The sequence below is a fragment of the Homo sapiens genome, chromosome 7 (assembly GCF_000001405.40).
Source record: "Homo sapiens chromosome 7, GRCh38.p14 Primary Assembly".
NCBI lineage: Eukaryota > Metazoa > Chordata > Mammalia > Primates > Hominidae > Homo > Homo sapiens.
Genome location: NC_000007.14, coordinates 25,818,130 through 25,837,943, shown reverse-complemented (window position 1 = coordinate 25,837,943; position 19,814 = coordinate 25,818,130). Strand labels below are relative to the sequence as shown.

The following is a 19,814-nucleotide window of genomic DNA, read 5'->3' as shown; positions in this document are numbered from 1 at the left end:
ATAGAAGTGTGCTACACAGTATAGTTTAAGTTGCAGTTCTTTTTATCCCAAATGTTTGATCTTTCAAGCCTTATTTTTCTAATTTTTAATTATAAAATATATATAACATAAAAGTGGCCATTTTAGCCATTTTAAGTGTACATTCATAGTGTTATACAACCATCACCACTATAAATTTCCAGAATTTTTTATTTCATACTGGAGCTCTGTACCCATTAATAAAAACTCTCCATTCCCCCTTACCCTCAGACCCTGGTAGCCTTTATTCTACTTTCTGTCTTTATGAATTTGCCTAGTCTACGTATCTTATATAAGCAGAATCATACAATATTGTCCTTTTGTGTCTTGTTTATTTCTCTTAACCTAATGTCTTCAAGCTTCATCCATGTTATTGCACTTAAAAAGGTGGGAATGTGATTTTTGGCTCTGCACTTAGCTTAGATCTGAATCAAATTAAGCCTCATCCAGGATGCTTCAACAATTTATAATTTAGTGAGGTTAGACTTGTTTTGGGCTCATAGGTGGTTTAAATTGGGCTTAAAAAGATTTATGCAAAATTCCAGTGCAATATTAGTAAGATCCAAAAAAGTCAGAACTTCGTTCCTTTTTAAGACTGAGTAATGTTTCACTGGGATAGTATTCCATTGTATGAACGTGCCAGGTTTTGCTTATCCATTCATCTGTTGATCTATGTCCACTTGGATTGTTTTCACGTTTTGGGTATTGTGAATAGTGCTGCTGTGGACATGGTGTACAGAACAAGTCTCATATTGAAGGGTTCCAGTTCACCTCTGCAGTCTTAAAGACTTGACACTCAACTGGGCAGAGGTACAGTATCTGGCGAGTAAAAGAAGGCAATTGGCAAATGGTTACACTTCTGGCTTGAAATGTTATAGGGTTAGTTTCTTTCCCCTTTTTTTCAGGGCAGATCTTTTCCTGGAATCAAGTTTGACTCCTAAAACCACCTTGGTGTGGTGGTGGAGCCCCAGGCGGATAAGAGCAGAAAGCCATTTGAATCCTGCTGCTTTACTTATTAATGGAGCCATTTGCTGTTGCGGAATTGAAAGTATTACAACTGAGTGACAGTTGTTTAATATTCTGATTACATGAACTTTGTGTGTTATGGTTTTGCCATTTGACATATTAGATTTCATAATGCAATTGAATTTGTGTGCTGGAACCATGTTTATTAACAGAGACTGACATGGTTCTCCTAAGAATTTACGTTAAGCTGACTGCAGTGATGTGGGAAGTCTATGGTGATAGTTGGGGGAGGCTGGAGCCCGTATGGACTAGAATCTTTTCTGTTTAAGTTTCACAAGAAAACTTCTTGGAGATGAAATCCATGTTTTCACTCATTTTGACATATTTTACAATGATGGATGTGAGATGGGGGAAGACTGGCTCAAAAATAGGAGATTGCTGAGGTCAAAAGTCAAAGGAATTGCTGTTTTTAAAGAGATTGTCCAAGGGGGAGCCACAGAAAAGCACTCAAACTGTCTGATTTTATTATTGTTTTCTCTCATAATGCCTTCCTGGCTGTGGGTATAAATCCATACTAGTTAACAAAAGTTTTGGTCGTATACAGCATTTTTTCAGGAGAATAAGATCTGCTCATTCCAAGATAGGTAACTGGGTCTAGAGCTATTTTTCAGTATAGTTATGGCCTAAAAACGTGGCAACATGATTTTTGCCTCGGCCCTCAGCTTACATTTGAATCAAACAAGGCCTCACCCATGAGGCTTTAATAATTATTAACTTAGTGAAATTGGGCAGGTCCTGGTCTTTAAAGTAGTTTAAATTGATTCTAAACAGATTTATGTAAAATTCCAGTGTAATATTAGTAAGATCCAAATAAATAAAAACTTCATTTCGTATTCTGGGAAATTATGGTTTTAAACTAGCAGAGAGAGTCTGTATGGTTAAAAATTATACAGCAAACAGACGGGCTATACCCATATCCAGGTTTTAATTTTTAAAATTATTATATATTAATTTTTTAAACTTACGAATATAATTAATTATGAAGGTAATATTACAGCAAATATATAAAATAAAATACTGCTTACCCATAATCTAACATCCTAAAGCAGCTTCTAATGTGTTTTGGCACAATTATTTATAGTCTTTTTCCTCATTGTAACTATTTAGCTATTTTTCTTTACATATTTATAATAATAATTTAAGGACAGTGTTTTATCTTGTTCTTCTCATTTAATATTGCATTAATATATTCCCCATGTTTCTACATTGTCTTCATAGCCATAATTTTAAGTGGCTTAATGAAAGGGAAGTGTGTAATGTAGAGCTTTCTGCCTATTTCCAGTTTTAAACTAAACCAGACTATAAGCATATGCAGATTTATCGTTCAAGATTTCAGGTATTCTCAGGCAATCCAGAGGTCCATGGAATGTGGTAATTAGTAATTTTACTGAAGCATTGGGGGAATGTGAGTCGCAAGACTGGAACTCAGGAGCTCACCAGCTAGAACACCAACTGCTTACTCAGTATAAAGATATTAACATAGTTTGCCTATTCTCAATTTGTCCCACAAGCATTTTACAGGGGGAAATTATTGTATTAGTTAATTTTTGCTGCATAACAAACCATCCACATTTTAGAGGCCTAAAACCACAAACATTTATTATTTAGTGCGTTATTCTGTGGCTGGCTGAGATGGCTGGGAGAGTTCTGGCCCGGGCAGACTCGGCTGGAGCTAGATGGTCTAGCATGGACTCAATCACATAGTTGGGTTGGCAGGCTGTTGGCCAGTGCCTTGGCTTTTCAGTATGTTTCCTCTCTAGCATCATAGCCCTATCTTGGGCTTATTTGCCTTAAGGTCTCATGGTTTCAGGTGCAGAAAGAGAAAACAAGATTTATGTGCAAGCGTTTTTCAAGCCTTTTTTGCTTGCATCATATTTGCTAATATTCTGCAGGCCAAAGCAAGTCATATGGCCAAACCCAGATCAAAGGATGAAAAAAGAGACTCTATTTCTTGATGGGTGGGGCAGAAATATCACAGGGCAGAGGGGCATGCAGACAGGAATGGAAAGAATTATTGGAACCATTTTTGCAAATAAACCAACACAATTTCATATATAGATGTACAGTCAAATTTGGGAATCTTTAAAAGTCCCTGGCAGATTCCTCCACAAACCCAAGGCCCACACAACTTGTAATTCATGGGAAGGGGGAGCTTCCAGTTATGGGCAAGTATTGTAAATAATACTTTAATGTACTTCTTTGTGTATATAGTTTTTAAAATATTTTGAGTTATTTGGTCAGGATAGAGTCCCAGAAGAATTCTTGGGGTAATGAAAACGAGTATTTTTATGTCTTTTAATATTTGCTTTCCAAAAAGTTGTGTTGAATCATGTCCTGTCAGCAATGTATGTTTGATTACCTATTTCACTATACTTCAGTGTTAAACTGAATGTTAACATTAAGAAAATTTTATAGTGAAAAGTTAAAAAATGGTATCTAATTTCTAGGGGTGTGGATTCTGCCATAAGAGAATTCTGCAGACTGGGTGGCTTAAACAATAGAAATTGATTGTCTGCTAGTTCGGGAGGCTTGAAGTCCGAGATTGAGGTGTAGACAGGTTTAATTTCTTCTGAGACCTCACTCCTCGGCTTGCAGATGGCGGCTTTTCTCTGTGTGCATGAAGCCCTAGTGTCTCTTCCTCTTTTTATAAGGATAACAGTCATATTGGATGAGGGTTCCACCCTTATGACCTCATTTAACTTCAGTTAACTCTTTGAAGGCCCTATTTTTCCAAATACAGTTACATTGGTAGTTAAGTCTTCAACATAGGAATTTTTGGGGAACACAATTCAGTCCCTAACAGGGTGGATCTAAAAGCTGTATGTGGCCTGAAGCTTATACAATTTTGGGGCCTTCTTTAAAAAGAATGTAAAATCACGCATACAAAATTGCTAGGTCCCCTGCCTAGGGTTTGGGAAGGGGCCTGTGCAAGCGAAGGGCCCCGAGACTTAAGGTTCATGGCTTACAATGAGCCCACCTCTGCTCATTGTTGTTTTTGTGCTTTACTTAACAGAGGGCATGATTGCTACTTGCTTGTATTTGCCAGATATAGAGTTAAGGCTATTGGTTTGATTATAGAGCAACAGGAGAGCAGTGTTATCATTTAGGGTGGAAGGGTCTCAGGTTTAAAGCTTTGAGTTTAAACAGACACTTAGGGTTTTTAGGAGGCCTTTCTTGTTCTAGTGGAGCAGAAAAGCACTTGCGTGGTATGTTTTTGTGACAATAAAGTCATGAAAGAGTGTGTCTTATTGTCGAAAGTGCCATCTCTCCCATCTGAGCACCGACGGCTAAAACATGATCAAGAGGGGACACATCTTCATTCTTTAGTTAGATACAGGGCTTAGAATTGAGGTACCCTTGGGAGAAGGAACACACCAACTTAAATTTGCATTAAGTTATACATGCCTGACGCTAGATTTTCTGGGAGCAGATTTTCATATGGGGAAGCAAGATGGTATTAAGTACGTAAACACGTGTGTTTGAAGAGAAGGTACTGAAAAATGGAGATTGAAGTGCAAATGACAAGCTTCACTTTAAAAAAATTTAGATAGGGCAGTGCTGCTTTCAGAGGACTTGGTTGATGTGTCTTAGTAGAGACCTTGTTCGCGTGGGGAGTCTGTTGTTTCAGAAATGTGTTTCTGCTGCTATTTCTGCTTCCAAGAATGTCAGATAAAGGGGCCTGAACACAACTGGGGACATGTGGGAAGGGGGAGCCTCTAGTCATGGGCAGGGGTGGGGCTGTGATGTAACAGGCATTGGCTTAGACCAATGGGAATGCAGAAACAGATGGATGGGGCAGAGATCCTTGGGTATAATGACTAATTAAGCATGATCTTTAAGTAGAGGTTGCAGGAAGTTTGGGGAGTTGATTGGTAGGACTGAGTAGAAAGCAGAAGTAACACAGGAGGTGGAGGTAAAGAGAAGAGAAATTAAGAAGGAAAATCTCATCAAATGACATATTTAAAGATAAATTAATTAAATACAGAAAAGGTAAATATAATTTTGTTTTCTTCTGGCTAAGTAATATAGATACTTCACATAGCTATGGAGATGATTATTCAAAATCACCGTGAACCTCTTGGCTTCTGGAAGATAGCCAATGTGATTCCCAGAGCTTAGAGGGGCCTGTCTTAACCACCAAACTGAGTTTCCACTGACACCGATACGAAACATGTAGAAAAATATTAGCATTTCCTATTCAAACAAATACGATATAGTCTGGGGACATAAGGTTATCTAATTTTCTTCCAAAAAGATAACATTTAAGAAAGCACATAGTTTAAACAGGAAAAACACTTTGCACAATGTGACCCACTGATCCAAGCCCGGGTAGTTCTCATTGCCCGGGGAGAACAAGCAGAGCATTGTTTCAGCGATGAAAAGAAAAACATCCTCTGATTTTCCAAGTTTGTTCTGAACCAAATTTTTGGTTGAAATAGAAAGATGTATTTTTTTTCCTTTTCTTGCCACCCTTCTTTATTTTTTAACCCATTTTTTAATGAAGCTATCTAAGTGGATGTTGAAACAGTGAATGTTAAGAAAGAGTACATTTCCTATGTAAACAAACACAACCCGGCTTAGAGAGAGAGGAAAGCAGTCTTGTCAACCCGAAAGGAACCCAGCACATGGTAATTTTTGTAATTGAAGTATCCCAGGGATTCCAGGGTACATGAACAATCCATAAAACAGGAATGAGACCACACAAAAACACAACCATGGCTCCAGGCGGGCACTGTTGAAAAGAAGCAGACTTTTAGCAGTAGGAAGCAGGGAGCTTGCATCAGAGGATCTTTGTAAATGCCCCTCTAAAATTAAAGTCCTCTCTAAGCTCCTTCCAGGTAAAAATGTTGTTTACTGGGGCTGAAGGCTGTGAAACACGAGCAATATAGAGAGGAAGACAAAAAGACTGGTGAGGTCATGACCTTGAGCCTTTTTGTTTTCTTTCTCAAGGTCTTTTACATGCATCGTTGGATTGCAGTCTCAAGCCTGGGATTCCAACGGAATTAACGTCCATTGAAAACTTACTGTGCTCAAGGCACAGAACGGGGTAGTTTTATACACATTCTCCCATTTGGATTTTTCAAAGACAACATCTAATCATCCCCAGAGAAATTTCAGCTGAGAAGACAGGATGGTGAGACAGTTCCTAAGTCTTTCCTAGACACAATTGTCTTTGCAAGTCCTCTGCCACAGTCAAAGGTGCTTTCTTGCCTACCTACTGGTAAAATCCTTGACTGTCCGATTTCTCTAAATAACTATAATTGGAGCAATCAGATCATTAAAAAAAAACAGCAGGAGAGATGTTAATGTTCTAAAATACAGTTTCCATTCTAATTGCAGATGAAGTGCCCTGGGGGCCAGAGTCCAGACAAGTATTTTGGCACCTCCAAGGACTCGCAGAACACAGAGAGGAAAAGAGAGACCCTGTTATCTTTCCGCAGGGGTGGCCGTTCAAACTCTCAGAGATGGAAGTTAAGATTTCCTTTGGTATAAGTGGCAGTTTGACTGGCTGCAAGGAGAGCCTCAGTTTGTTTAATTTGGAGTAAAATTTTATGAGTTAATCTCTAGTGAGGGAAAGCAGCAGTAAACACAGAACATACTGGTCATTATTCTAAGTATTTCTACATTCTTTCTCATGCATGAAAGGAGAAAAAAAGTCACAAAAATGAGGAGGCATGGTGCTCAAACATGTGTGTGTGTGTGTGTGTGTGTGCGCGTGTGTGTGTGTGTGTGTATGATTTTGTTTTGATCAAACCATCTGGTGTGCAGCATACCCCAGGATGTGAAGGCAAACATTTACCAAGAGATTCACATGATTTCTGCTGTGTATACTCATATTTGTAGAAGACGCTTATGTTTTCAGAAAGTGGAGATAAACATAGATCTCTCTGCATTTATTAATGCAGCCCCAGTTCTTTGCAGACCAAACCGTTATTTATTTTAGTGGGCCTTAGAAACTCAGGTGTGTTAAAAAGCCAGAGAGACATGCACAATCTGGAAATGATCAGTGTCATGCCTGAGGAAAACATTACCGTGCTCCTCAAGTTTAATAATATGGGCAAAAAATTCAGGGATATTGCGATACGATGGTGTGCTGAGAAGTGGATTAAATCTCGATTAAATCACAACATAAATAATGCCTTAACTAAAAATGTTAAAGGCGAACTTGAAATGGTCTTAAAAACAAAAGAGGTAATTTACCTGATTTATTAGGGGAGAGAAAAAGTAGCTTGGTGTGTGTTCTGTGGATTTCATGTTTAATGGGATGGACTTTTAGGGAAATGGCTGGGGATCTGAGGAAGCTAAACGAAAAACCCCTATATGCTGGCTGGAGTTTTAAGAAGATAGAGGGAGGGAAAAATCACCCATCAACCAACCAACCAAACCAAACCAAGAGTCTGAGTGCCCCAGCACTGGAAGCAAGACAATTGTTTCCTAGGGGACTCCTGGCTACCAGGAGACTGCTCAATAAGGGAGCGCTTAAACTTCAAAAAGGAAAAAGCAGATTTATTAGGAGGCACACATGAGGCTTTAAGGGAATGCTCCTGGTAAGTGGGACTCCTGCTGTTCTCATTCTTGTGCCTTTGTATTGCTGAAAACCCTTCTGCAAGATCCAAATATGCCTTTGGTTTTTTTTTTTTTTTTCCACGTGTGTTGTCACTTGAACATTTTGCACCACCCATCTCTCTGAAAAGTTCAGGATGTAGGGTACTTCCTTTTGAAGGTCTCTCAATTCTTCATAAGGAACTGATCATATTCAGCTTCACTATGGGGGGGCAGTCCTGGGGTGGGCTGGGGGTGCTGGCACACATGTTCCTAGTGGGTCATGTGTCCCCGTGGGCAAAGGATAACACCTCTTGGGGCTCAGTTTCCTCATCAGTAAATAGAGAATCTGCTCTTTAAGGGCCTTGCCAGGTCTAAGATCCTGTGATTCTCAGTAGGCCAGAAAACACAACTTCTGAGCAATCAAACCTCTGAGTGACAGGATGGAATATTTTGCCAAAGGTCATGCAGCAAATGCTTGTCAGTCCTAAAGAGAACTTGAGACTGTACCTGTCTTGTGACAGCTGGACTCTGACATCTGACAAGGCAGGGGACTTTGCAGGGCAATGGCCACTCTTGTCTTGCTGACCATTGTCTGCCTAGAGCATGTGCCATGTAGTAGGCAGAAGATATTTGTGAAATCAATCAATGAAAGTTTAAATAGAGAAATAAGGGATTTCCTAGGAGCAACTCAGTTTTGAGAGTCGAGTTCTCTCAGCTGTCTGGCGGGGAACCCCATGCAAGCAGTTAGCATGAACTTGGTGTGGAGGAGGGTAGATGCCCCAGCATGCTAGAAAAAGACTTGGCAGAATGATAGTTTGAGAGATTAAAACATTTCTGTCATTGAGACTGGTGGCAGAGCCTGGACTACTGTGTCACCGATCCAGACACAAAGTGTGATAATTCTGGAGGCAGTACAAGGAAAATTGGATGATAGCTTTGACTCTGGACATTGATGAGTAAATTGACAAACCTTGAACTGTCTAGGGTTGTGCAAGAGTCACCAAGACTGATCAGACAGATGAAGAAAGTATGTTGCTTGCTTGAGACTCTTCATAAAACACAAGTCACGTGTCTTTGAATTAGCACGTTGTGACACACTAGACACACACCAACAGGAAAGGAAAGCTTTGGGAGATGATACTTATCTTTATTCTGTGCAATACAATCTGATATTTTATGTTCTATTTTGTTTTTATTTTAGTTTTTTCTTTATGAAAAATTTTAATTTTTAATTTTTATGGGTATATAATAGGTGTATACATTTATGGGGTACATGACATATTTTGCTACAGGTATAAAATGTTTAATCACATCAGGGTAAATGGGGATATTCATCATCTGAAAAATCCATCATTTGTATGTGTTATGAACATTCCAGTTGTGCTCCCTTAGTTATTCTAAAATGTACAGCAAATATTGCTGACTGTAGTCGCTCTGTTATGCTATCAAGTATTAGATCTTATTCATTATATATAACCATATTTTTGTGCCCAATAACCATCCCCATTTTCCATCTCCCCACACTACCCTTCCCAGCCTCTGGTAACTATCATTCTAGTCTCTATTTTGATGGGTTCAATTGTTTTAACTCCCCCAAAATGAGTGAGAACACATGCAAAGTTTGTCTTTCTGTGTCTGGCTTATTTCACTTAACATAATGCCCTCTAGTTCCAACCATGTTACAAGTGACAGGATCTTATTCATTTTCATGGCTGAATAGTACTCCATTGTGTATATGGACCACAGTTTTTTTATTCATTCGTCTGTTGGCAGACACTTAGGTTGCTTCCAAATCTTGGCTATTGTGAATAACATAGGAATGCAGATATCTCTTTGATATACTGATTTCCTTCTTTTTGGGTATATACCTAGCAATGGGATTGCTGGATCCTATGGTAGCTCTATTTTTAGTGTTTGAGGAACCTCCATACAGTTCTCCATAGTGGCTGTACTAATTTACATTCCCACCAACAGTGTGCGAGGGTTCCCCTTACTCCACATACTTGCCGGCATTCATTATTGCCTGTCTTTTGGATAAAAGCCATTTTAACTGGGATGAGATGATATCTCATTGTAGTTTTGATTTTCATTTCTCTCTCAGATGATCAATGATGTTGAGGATCTTTTCATATGCCTGTTTGTTATTTGTATGTCTATGTCCTATTTGGGGAAATGCCTATTTAGACCTTTTGCACATTTAAAGATCAGATTGTTAGATTTTTTTTTCCTGTAGACTTGTTTGAGCTCCTTATATATTCTGGTTACTAATCCTTTGTCAGATCGATAGTCTGCAAATATTCTCTCCCATTCTGTGGGCTGTCTCTTCACTTTGTTGATTGTTTCCTTTGTTATGCAGAAGCTTTTGAACTTCATGTGATTTCATTTGTCCATTTTTGCTTTGGTTGCCTATGCTTTGGTTGCCTACGTAGTATTACTCAAGAAATATTTGTCCAGACCAATGTCCTGGAGAGTTTCCCCAATGTTTTCTTGTAGTAGCTTTATAGTTTGAGGTCTTATAGTTAAGTATTTAATCCATTTTGATTTGATTTTTGCATATGATTTCTGCATTTAATTTTGCATATAGTTTGAGGTCTTATAGTTAAGTATTTAGTCCATTTTGATTTGATTTTTGTATATGATGAGAAATAAGGGTCTAGTTTCATTCTTCTGCATATGAATAGCCAGTGTTTCCTGGGACCATTTATTGAAGAGACTGTCCTTTTCCCAGTGTGTTTCTGGCACCTTTGTCAAAAATGAGTTTACTGTAGGTGTATAGATTTATATCTGGGTTCTCTCTTCTCTTCCCCTGGTCTATGTGTCTGTTTTAATGCCAGCACTATGCTGTTTTGGTTACTATAGTTTTGTAGTATGATTTCAAGTCAGGTAATGTGATTCCTCTGTTTTGTTCTTTTTGCTCAGTATGGCTTTGGCAATTTTGGGTCTTTTGTGATTCCATATAAATTTTAGGATTTTTTTTCTATTTCTGTGAAGAGTGTCATTGGTATTTTGATAGGGATTGCATTGACTCTGTACATTGCTTTGGATAGTATGGACATTTTAACAATATTGATTCTTCCAATGCATGACCATGGAATATCTTTCCATTTTTTGGTGTCCTCTTCAACTTCTTACATCAGTGTTTTATAGTTTTAATATAGAGATCTTTTACTTCTTTAGTTAAGTTTATTCCTAGGTATTTTATCTGTGGTTATTGTACACGTGACTTATTTTCTTTCTTTCTTTCTCCTTCCTGCCTGCCTTCCTGCCTGCCTGCCTGCCTGCCTGCCTTCCTTCCTTCTTCCTTCCCTCTTTCCTTCCTTCTTTCCTTCCTTCCCTCCCTCCCTCCTTCCTTCCTTCCTTCCTTCCTTCCTTCCTTCCTTCCTTCCTTCCTTCTTTCCTTCTTTCTTTCTTTCTTTCTTTCTTTCTTTCTTTCTTTCTTTCTTTCTTTCTTTCTTTCTTTCTTTCTTTCTTTCTTTCTTTCTTTCTTTCTTTTTTTCTTTCTTTCTGTCTTGCTCTGTTGCCCAGGCTGGAATGCAATGGTGCGATCTCGGCTCACTGTAATCTCCACCTCCTGGGTTCAAGCGATTCTCCTGCCTTAGCCTCCTGAGTGGCTGAGATTACAGGCACATGCCACCGCACCTGGCTAATTTTTTATTTTTTTTTGGTATTTTTAGTAGAGATGGAGTTTCACCATGTTGGTCAGGCTTGTCTCGAACTCCTGACCTCATGATCTGCCCACCTCGGCCTCCCAAAGTGCTGGGATTACAGGCATGAGCCACCGCATCTGGCTGATTTCTTTTTTAGATTGTTCACTGTTGGCATATAGGAATGCTACTGATTTTTGTATCTTGATTTTATATCCTGCAACTTTACTGAATTCATTTATCAGTTCTAACAGTTTTTTGGTAGAGTCTTTAGGTTTTCCAAATATAAGATCGTGTCATTTGCAAACAAGGATAGTTTGACTTCTTCCTTTTTCCAATTTGGATGCCCTTTCTTTCTTTCTTTTGTCTGATTGCTCTAGGTAGGACTTCCAGCACTATATTGAATAATAGTAGTGAAAGTGGGCATCCTTGTCTTGTTCCAGATCTTAGAGGAAAGGCTTTCAGTTTTTTTCCCATTCACTATGATACTAACTGTAGGTCTGTCTATTTTAGTTTTTAAAAATGTTTGATACAGTGCACTAAGTTGATTCCATGACCAATGCACAATTTGAAAACAATACTCTGAGATGCATTTTAAGATGATTATGGCAGGTCCAGACTAGGAATTTCATCTTGTTTTGCTTTAAAAAATAGCTTTATTGAGATATAGTTTGCATACCATAGAATTCACCCATTTAAAGCATACAATTTAGGCTGGGCACTGTGGCTCATGGCTGTAATCCCAGCACTTTGGGAGGGCCAAGGAGGGTGGATAACTTGAGGCCAGAAGTTCGAGACCAGCCTGACCAACATGGCGAAATCCCGTCTCCACTAAAAATACAAAAAATTAGCCAAGTGTGGTGGTGCATGCCTGTAATCCCAGCTACTCCGGAGGCTGAGGCAGGAGAATCACCTGAACCTGTGAGACAGAGGTTGCAGTGAGCCAAGACTGCACCATTGCACTGCAGTGTGGGTTACAGAGCGAGGCTCCATCTAAAAAAAAATTAATAAAGTGTACAATTTAATGGTTTTTAGTACATTCACAGATCTGTGCAACAATCTTCACAGTCAATTTTAGAATGTTTCATTACCCCAGAAAGAAACCCCCTGTCCTTTACTTGTCACACCTCATCCCTTCATCTTCTTGGCCCCCCAGCCACAGGCAACCACTAATCTATTTTCTGTCTCTATAGATTTGCCTATTCTGGACATTTCATATAAATGATATCATACAATAGGCTGTCTTTTGTGACTGCCTTCTTTCACCTAGCATAGTGTTTTCACCACATTGCAGTGTGTATCAGTACTTCACTCCTTTTTGTGGCTGAATAATACTCCACTGAATGGGATATACCAAGTTTTGTTTATTCATTCATATAGGCATTTTACCTTCATTTATAATTTAGGCTATCAAATCTCCCTAAACTTACTAATTCTTAACATCCAAGAAGATGTGTGCATGGCAGGAACCCGGGACACCTATCTTGGTGAGAATGTTTCCTAGCCCCATCTATAACCTCATGTTTCACTCTCTGAAAAGTCTGCCTTTTTTCTCTTTGTTCTCATCATTGGCAGGAATCACAGAAAGGATCAGGTGTGTAGGGAAGAACTAGTTCTGATGGAAGTGAGGGCCACAGAGCACTTGCTTCTCCCTTCATTGGCAAATGGACAGTTGCAGGAGCAGTGAACATATTGATTCATTGGTCAGGATCATGAAAAGTGCTCTTTGGAACATCCTGTTCTGTCCTTAGAAGAATGCACAATGCAATGAGCCTCCTGGCATGAAGAAGACCTTGATCTGCCCCACAACAATTTCAGATAAAACTCTTTGCTCAGAAGAAAGTTATTCCCAGCTGAATTTTATCACCCCTAATTCTTTACATTTGCTACTTTAAGGCTCTTTAGACCCACCAAAATCACAGAGGCAAACTACTAAGCTGCAATTTCAGTCACTTTTAGGGTCAATGTTATTATTTTTCTAAAGTCTCATTTCATGCTTTTAAATGAAAACATAAGTGATACGTATACCAATCCCCAGAGAGGAGACAGTGGGTATTATACCCTTGTCCTCCAAGGACCTTACAGTACTTGATAGAGGATTTGATTTAATGTTCACTGAAAAGCCATCTTTGGCTTGACCTGATTTCTGGAATTTTCTCGGTTATTGAATCTGTGCAGTTTTTCATCTTCTTGGCCTTGTCTCTGACATTCCATGCTGACATGGCTGTGTCTGCCTCCACCATGTCTGAAATGTTCTTTGCATTTTCGTTGGGTGTTTGCTAATCCATTGTTCTGCATGATGGATTCAGAGAAGAAACGCTGTAATGCAGAGCCAGGGCAGAGGGGAGATGGTGCCACTCGGAGGGAACTGTCAGGCTTCCATACAGTGAGAGGTAACCGGAGCAGGATGACAGTGGTGCTGTGCAGCCTTAGCTGATGTCTCAGCCTCACCTGGAAGTGGCAGGTGGCGGTTCCAGACGGTGGCTGTGTATATGTGTATTGAGGGGCTGGGGGTGCAGAGAAAGAGGACTCTCTTTCTCAAGCAACAGGCCCTGAGAATAAGTCATATGGATTGTTCCCATGAAGGGAGAATAGAGTAGGAGTTTTATACTTAGAGGGACTTGTGTTTGGACTACTCTCCTCATGAAATTTATTCAACAGATACTTATTGAATGCTCAGTGTGTACCAGGCACCATTATAGGCATGGAGGATGTGTTTCAGGACAAACTAGAGAATGTTCCTGTCTTTATGGAGTTTTCCTTCTTTTGTCAGGGGAGACATCAATATAGCAAATATCTATGTATAATTTTGTATTGCCTAGAGATAAAGCTTTTGAAGAAAAATAGAGCAGGTGATGGATGTAGAGTGAGGTGCTATGATAGATGAAGGGGCCAGGGAAGATGCATTTTAAGGAAGTGATACTTAAGCAGAGGTCTGAATGAAACAAGAGACTGAGCAGGTGACTTTCTGGGATGTCTATTCCTGGCTGAGGGAGCAGCATATACAACTGCCCTGTGAATAGTGATTGCTTGGCACATTAGAGGGGCAGCAAGAGGGACAGTGACTGGCACAAGGTGACTAAGGCTGTTCACTAAGGGAGAGTGGTAGGAAGTAGGGTCACAGGATAGCCAGGGGCCCAAACAGGTGGGCCTCACAGAAGTATGAGTCCTGACATGATGAGCCCCACTCTGTGCCTCACTCTCCCCATTTTCTGCAGCCATGAAGTGATAGGATATAAGGAATGTTAAATGCACTTGGTAAAATGTGAGTCGTCTTCTTCCTCTTCTAAGAGATGACAACAGGTCCATTTTTCATGCGCTTATCCTCACTTGACTTTCTCAGTCCACCAGGATTGACACATAGTGAGGTTGGTCTTGGTTGGGGCATTTGGAAAGTCTTGATCATCTCTACTTTTAAATATCACTATGTCTCCTGGGCACTGACTTCAATGTGGTGGAGAAAGGGAGGGCAAAGCTTACACCATGAGAATGTTTTCCCTGGAGGGCCAGTAGGGACGGCATTTAGAGTTGGTCATCAGGTTTGGTGCCCATTTCCTCTTTGGCTGGGCATGAAGCTGGCAATGGCCCCGGGGTGCCAGACAACCCCTCGGCTCCCATGTGGATCTTCTGTGATTCTAAGACTATATTGTGAATGGTCACTTTAGTCCTCGGCACCTTTTTTTTTTTCCCTTAATCAGCATATCTTTGGTTCCTGACAACACAGGACAAAGCTCTTCAGAGAATAAATAATAACATGAATGTAAGCAAAGTATAATGGTGCCCAGGAATGTAGCCAGAAGATGGTGAGAACATTGGTTCACACCTAGACAAGCAGTTATGACATAGAAACTTATTTATGCCATCAAAGGTACTGAATCACCCTGATTACACTGAATACTAGGGATCAGCTGCAGAATCTGTAGCTCTCAAGCCCCCCCAGAGGGTTTTCTACCAGCTTACAAGGAAGTAACATTTAGGTTAATGGTTTCCAACCTGGTATGGGGAGGAGGTAGGAGCCCCTGGGAGTGTGCGAGATGATACATTTTGGGGGTTGGAAGAAGAAGAAAATTTAAAAGAAAATTTTCTAATTTTCTTTTAAAAAAATCTCATCAATTGGTGATTTTTTTCATTCCTTTTTTCCCTTTCACTTCCCTTTCACCTTCTTTCTCTTCCTGTTCTATCATGTACTAATCTACTACTTAAGAGATAGACTCTGGAACAAAATGGCCAGGGTTTGAATTTTGGCTCTGCCCCTTCGTAATGGCATTCCCATTCCTTTGGGTAAGTAACTATCCATCTGTGTGCACTAGCTTCTTCATTGGCAAAATGAAAAAATAACATTACCCGTCTGATAGAGTTCTTATAAAGATGGAAACATTCATATATGTAAAGTGCTTAGAAGAGGGCATAGCACACTGTTATATATTTTGACACTATTTTCCTATTATTTCAATAGGGCTATAATTTATAAGTAAATAATTGAATAATTTATATTCGATTAAATTATTCAAATAAATTAAATTATTCAAATAAGTATGAAAATATGAGGTGTGGCCAGCCAGTTTTCCCAGCATCATTTATCAAATAGGGTTTCCTTTCCCCAACTTATGTGTTCGTATACATTGTTAAAGATCAAGTGTATGTGTATGTGTATACAGTTTCTATAATTTTTCACTGATGGGATGGATGGCTTAAAAAATCTGGAGATCTCTCTTTGAGGCGATGAGAATCATTTTTATCTAACGACCATGACATTGGGTTGTGTAAGGACACAGTTTGTTGATGTCTCTGATTTTATACAAATGGAGCAGGTTTTAGTATCAACACTACAGAGGAAACATTCAAGATACAAAGAAACAAAGCCTCAGAAAGGCACCCAGCTCCTTTCTAATTATTAACATTTTCTGAGGGTGGTCTAATGGAGAGCTGAGCTGCAATGAGAACACAGAGACTTTCCAGTCTTCAGAGCCCTGAAAAAGCAAATGATTCTGGAATAATTGCACTCTTTGCATTCTAGTAACAGATCCAGAGAGAGATTAATTTTGAAAATCAAGAAAACCTTGGAGATCCTTCAACTAAAGAGTTTTTTTCCAGGGGAAAGAGAAAAGGAATAAAGCGAAATTCATTTTAATTCAAGATATATTTGCCAGATACTGTCATTCTCTTGGGCCTCCAATTCTCAGTGTTTCAAGTTAGAACAGCCTCAGTTAACCCATTGTTTATCAGGCTGATGACTGACACCCAGCGTGGTCTCAGCCTTCTACTTTTGAGCTAAGTTCCCTTGGGAACCAGGTGTCTCTTGTTTCACTTCCCTTTTGTCCCCTTCTCCCCATGGACTTGAAGTGCCTCTTCTTCTCTACCTAAGTGACTTGCAGGTTTGGGGTAGGGAGAGCCAAGGGTGGCCCATTTTCTTTCCAACCAGCCTTTCATGAACAGCGGATGGAATTCTACCTATAAGGGAATTCCAAGTGTGGGTTTTATAAAACTAAACATTGGCTCTGGCTTATGGATCAGTAGCAGTCTCTGTGTAGAATAAAATGAAGTGTCTGTATCCTGACTCTTAGAAAATGGCCACCCTCTTACAGCCACTCAGAGTAAACCAGATCATTAATTAGCCTGGCTGTCCAGGAGAAAGCTACCTGTAAATTCTCCAAAACAAAAGAGAAAAAAACCCTAACCCCCCAAACCAGAATGATAACACTTCTTAACAACAATATTTACAAAAATTGTATTGGAAAAAAGATTTAAACATATACAGAAGTAGAGAGAGAAGCATAATGAACCCTTTTTGTACTCATCACCCAGGTTCAAAGATGACCAGTCATGGCCAACCTTGTTTCATTTACAGGTCCCCCGGCATATTTTGAGGCAAGTCCCAGACATGGTATTATTTTATTTATACATATTAAAAAAGACCATTTAGGATATTGAACCATATGGTGAATGGTAAGAGGCAGAGGAAATCAAACTAAGCCAAATGAAAAGCATTAAGTGCACCTGTGAGATTATGTGAGACCTTTATAAAATAACTGGGTAAAAAAAATGGCCAAACGGTAATCAGTCTCTCCATCCTAAGGCAGCCACTAGGGGCGCCTCTGATCATGGGTCTCAGCAATCGACCAAGAAGTAAACTTTTTATTATTTTTTTTTTGTAGTGCTCTTTTGCACTCTAGTAATATTACAACCATGACTAAGGACACATTAAAGGAGGAGTAAGCTAGACACTGGAATCTGGTTGTAGTCTCAGGGGATTCTGATGTTCCCGTGAGCTTAAAGTGGGTAATTCACTCTTGGAATGATGGAATTACTAATTCAGATATATCAACCAGAAATTTTGAAATTTCTGGGAAATAGTAGCAGCGTTGGTATAGAAAAAATAATAATGGCCAATTTGCCTTCTAAAAAGGAATCTGCAGCCAGGCGTAGTGGCTCAAGCCTGTAATCCCAGCACTTTGGGAGGCCAAGGTGGAAGGATCTCTTGAGCCCATGAGTTCGAGACCAGCCTGGCCAACATGGTGGAAACCCGTCTCTACAGAAAATACACAAAATTAGCCAGGTGTGGTAGTGCATGTCTGTAGTCCCAGCTACTTGGAAGGCTGAGGTGGGAGGATCGCTTGAGCTGGGGAGGTTGAGGATGCAGTGAGCTATGATCGCACCACTGCACTCCAGCTTGGGTGACAGAGTGAGACTCTGTCCCTAAATAAATAAATAAATAAATAAACAAACAAACAAACCTGGGGAAGTTTCCAGTGGCCATTAAGTTACTCTCAATTGTCCCCCTGCTTGAGAGAGCATAGTAGACATCGATTCCCTTTTCTTCCTCGAGATACAGTCTAAACAAGAAATGGCAAGTGAGTGACTTTGTTTTTATTTTTGTTAGAAGCTTGAAATTACAGAACGGTTTATCCTGCACTTCTACACATTTGTTTTCTTCTTGGAGATCCTAAATAATTTCTTTATTTTACACATTTCACTCAAACAATTCTATTTTTCTCTATTGCCATTATCTTAACACATCATGTTCAACTTCCTTCTGCTTTTTAAAAATTCTAATAATTTCCATTTCGTGATTAGTGCCACAGGAAAAGATACAGTTTTAACTTTAAAACAATTTTTCTTTCACCTAAGTAAACCATCAAAGACAATAGAAAGGAGAACAAATGTGTTTTTCAAAAGCCAGGCTCCCATTGTATCAGCTCATTGCAGGCAGCACGTATACAATTCACTTTTGACGGAATCATAATAAATATGAGACAATGTGGTATAAACCACTTTTTTATAATACAATACTCACCAATAAATTCCACTTATAACCTTAAATCAAATTGGTGCAGATGCAAAAATTATGTAAAACTGGTGGTACCTGCTCCTGACCTTGTGGGGGCCCTCCCAGATCTTGACTCAATAAACTTTTTCTTCCCTAATGATCTGGCAGTTATTCCTACCAAGAGAATACAACGGGGGTGCTGAGAAGTGGGGAAGTGAAGCAGTGATTCAGAGACCACCAGGGCCCTTAAGAAGATTAATTTGTATGAGGTACCTGAAAAGTTGGAAAAATCTCAATGCATTTCTGAATACACATATTCATTTTGAGCTGATTTCTGTTCCTCTTGTGCCCTGTAAAATTTCAAGGAATGTAGTTGAGGTCTGGAGATTTCCACAAAGAGATTAAGAGGGGCTATAAACCGAAGAAATAGTGGTTTTGTATAACTGTTGGGCATGAAATATTTTCAGTACCAAGATGTCCTGACTTTCAGTATAGAAACTGAGTAAACACCTTGTAAACATTCAGGGAACATTTCTATTAATGCTCTTAATAATAGGGTACATGATTTAAATCTAAAAAGAACCCGTGTCTGTTATCTCAGAATAATGTGTGAGTCTGTTTTTATATTTATTTCATAAAGTAGTTGGTGACATGGCTTAGTTTGCTGTTAGACAGCGAGGTCTGATTTTGCATTTTGTTTGGGAGTCAACCCATTTTGGGTTCTCAATAAGCATGTTTAGTTACTATTCATTGAATTTTATTATCCTTACCAAACACTTACACTTTCTCTATGTTTAAAAGAAGTTGGGTCCTTTATATTGGGTCTATATGAAACCCTGAAACCTTCTCTTGCAATGTGTCAGTCATTCTACAGTGGAGAGAGAAAGACTATTTCTTGCCTCTTTCTTGCAGTCTAGACACTGGGCTCATTCTATATGGGCTTGGATGGTGATAAGGAGCTTATTCCTTGTGGGGTAGTGAGGGTCGGGGAGTTCATGGAGTCTTGCCCAATATTTTGCTTATTTCTAGCTCAGAGCAGCCCCAGGGTGTGAGAAGCAGAGAGTGACTGAAGCAGACGTAGAGTCAGGTGGCCTGCGATGCAACCTTATACCTGCTGCCTTAAGCTTCGTGGACTCGGGCAACTACACTTACCCTCCTTGAGCCTCTGTTCCTCTCTGTAAAATAGGGATCATACTATTTACCTTCAGGGTAGATGTTAGGGTTAAACAAAAGGCCTTGCAAAGTGGTATGTAAAATATAAACAGTTATTTTACTATCATCATCTAGTTATATATAGAGTGGGCCAGGATTGC

The 19,814-nt window shown here is 39.4% G+C and overlaps 1 long non-coding RNA gene across 2 annotated transcripts, besides 1 other annotated feature; it reads left to right on the top strand.

The window, feature by feature from the left end:
* Window positions 1-4,859: 4,859 nt before the first annotated feature.
* Window positions 4,860-6,653, top strand: LOC100506236 (uncharacterized). Of its 2 annotated transcripts, none has more exons than XR_108752.5 (3): window positions 4,860-5,034; window positions 5,995-6,178; window positions 6,385-6,653. It is a non-coding gene; the product is annotated as an uncharacterized LOC100506236 (long non-coding RNA). The 2 variants fall into 2 exon arrangements; XR_927110.3 differs by lacking the exon at window positions 4,860-5,034 and adding an exon at window positions 5,770-5,882.
* Window positions 7,272-7,844: an enhancer, noted in NCBI's record as "OCT4-NANOG hESC enhancer chr7:25869720-25870292 (GRCh37/hg19 assembly coordinates)". NCBI's record gives its function as "activates a minimal SCP1, AML or CMV promoter by ChIP-STARR-seq in naive and primed H9 embryonic stem cells {active_cell/tissue: H9 hESC(naive and primed)}" and the evidence as "EXISTENCE:reporter gene assay evidence [ECO:0000049][PMID:30033119]".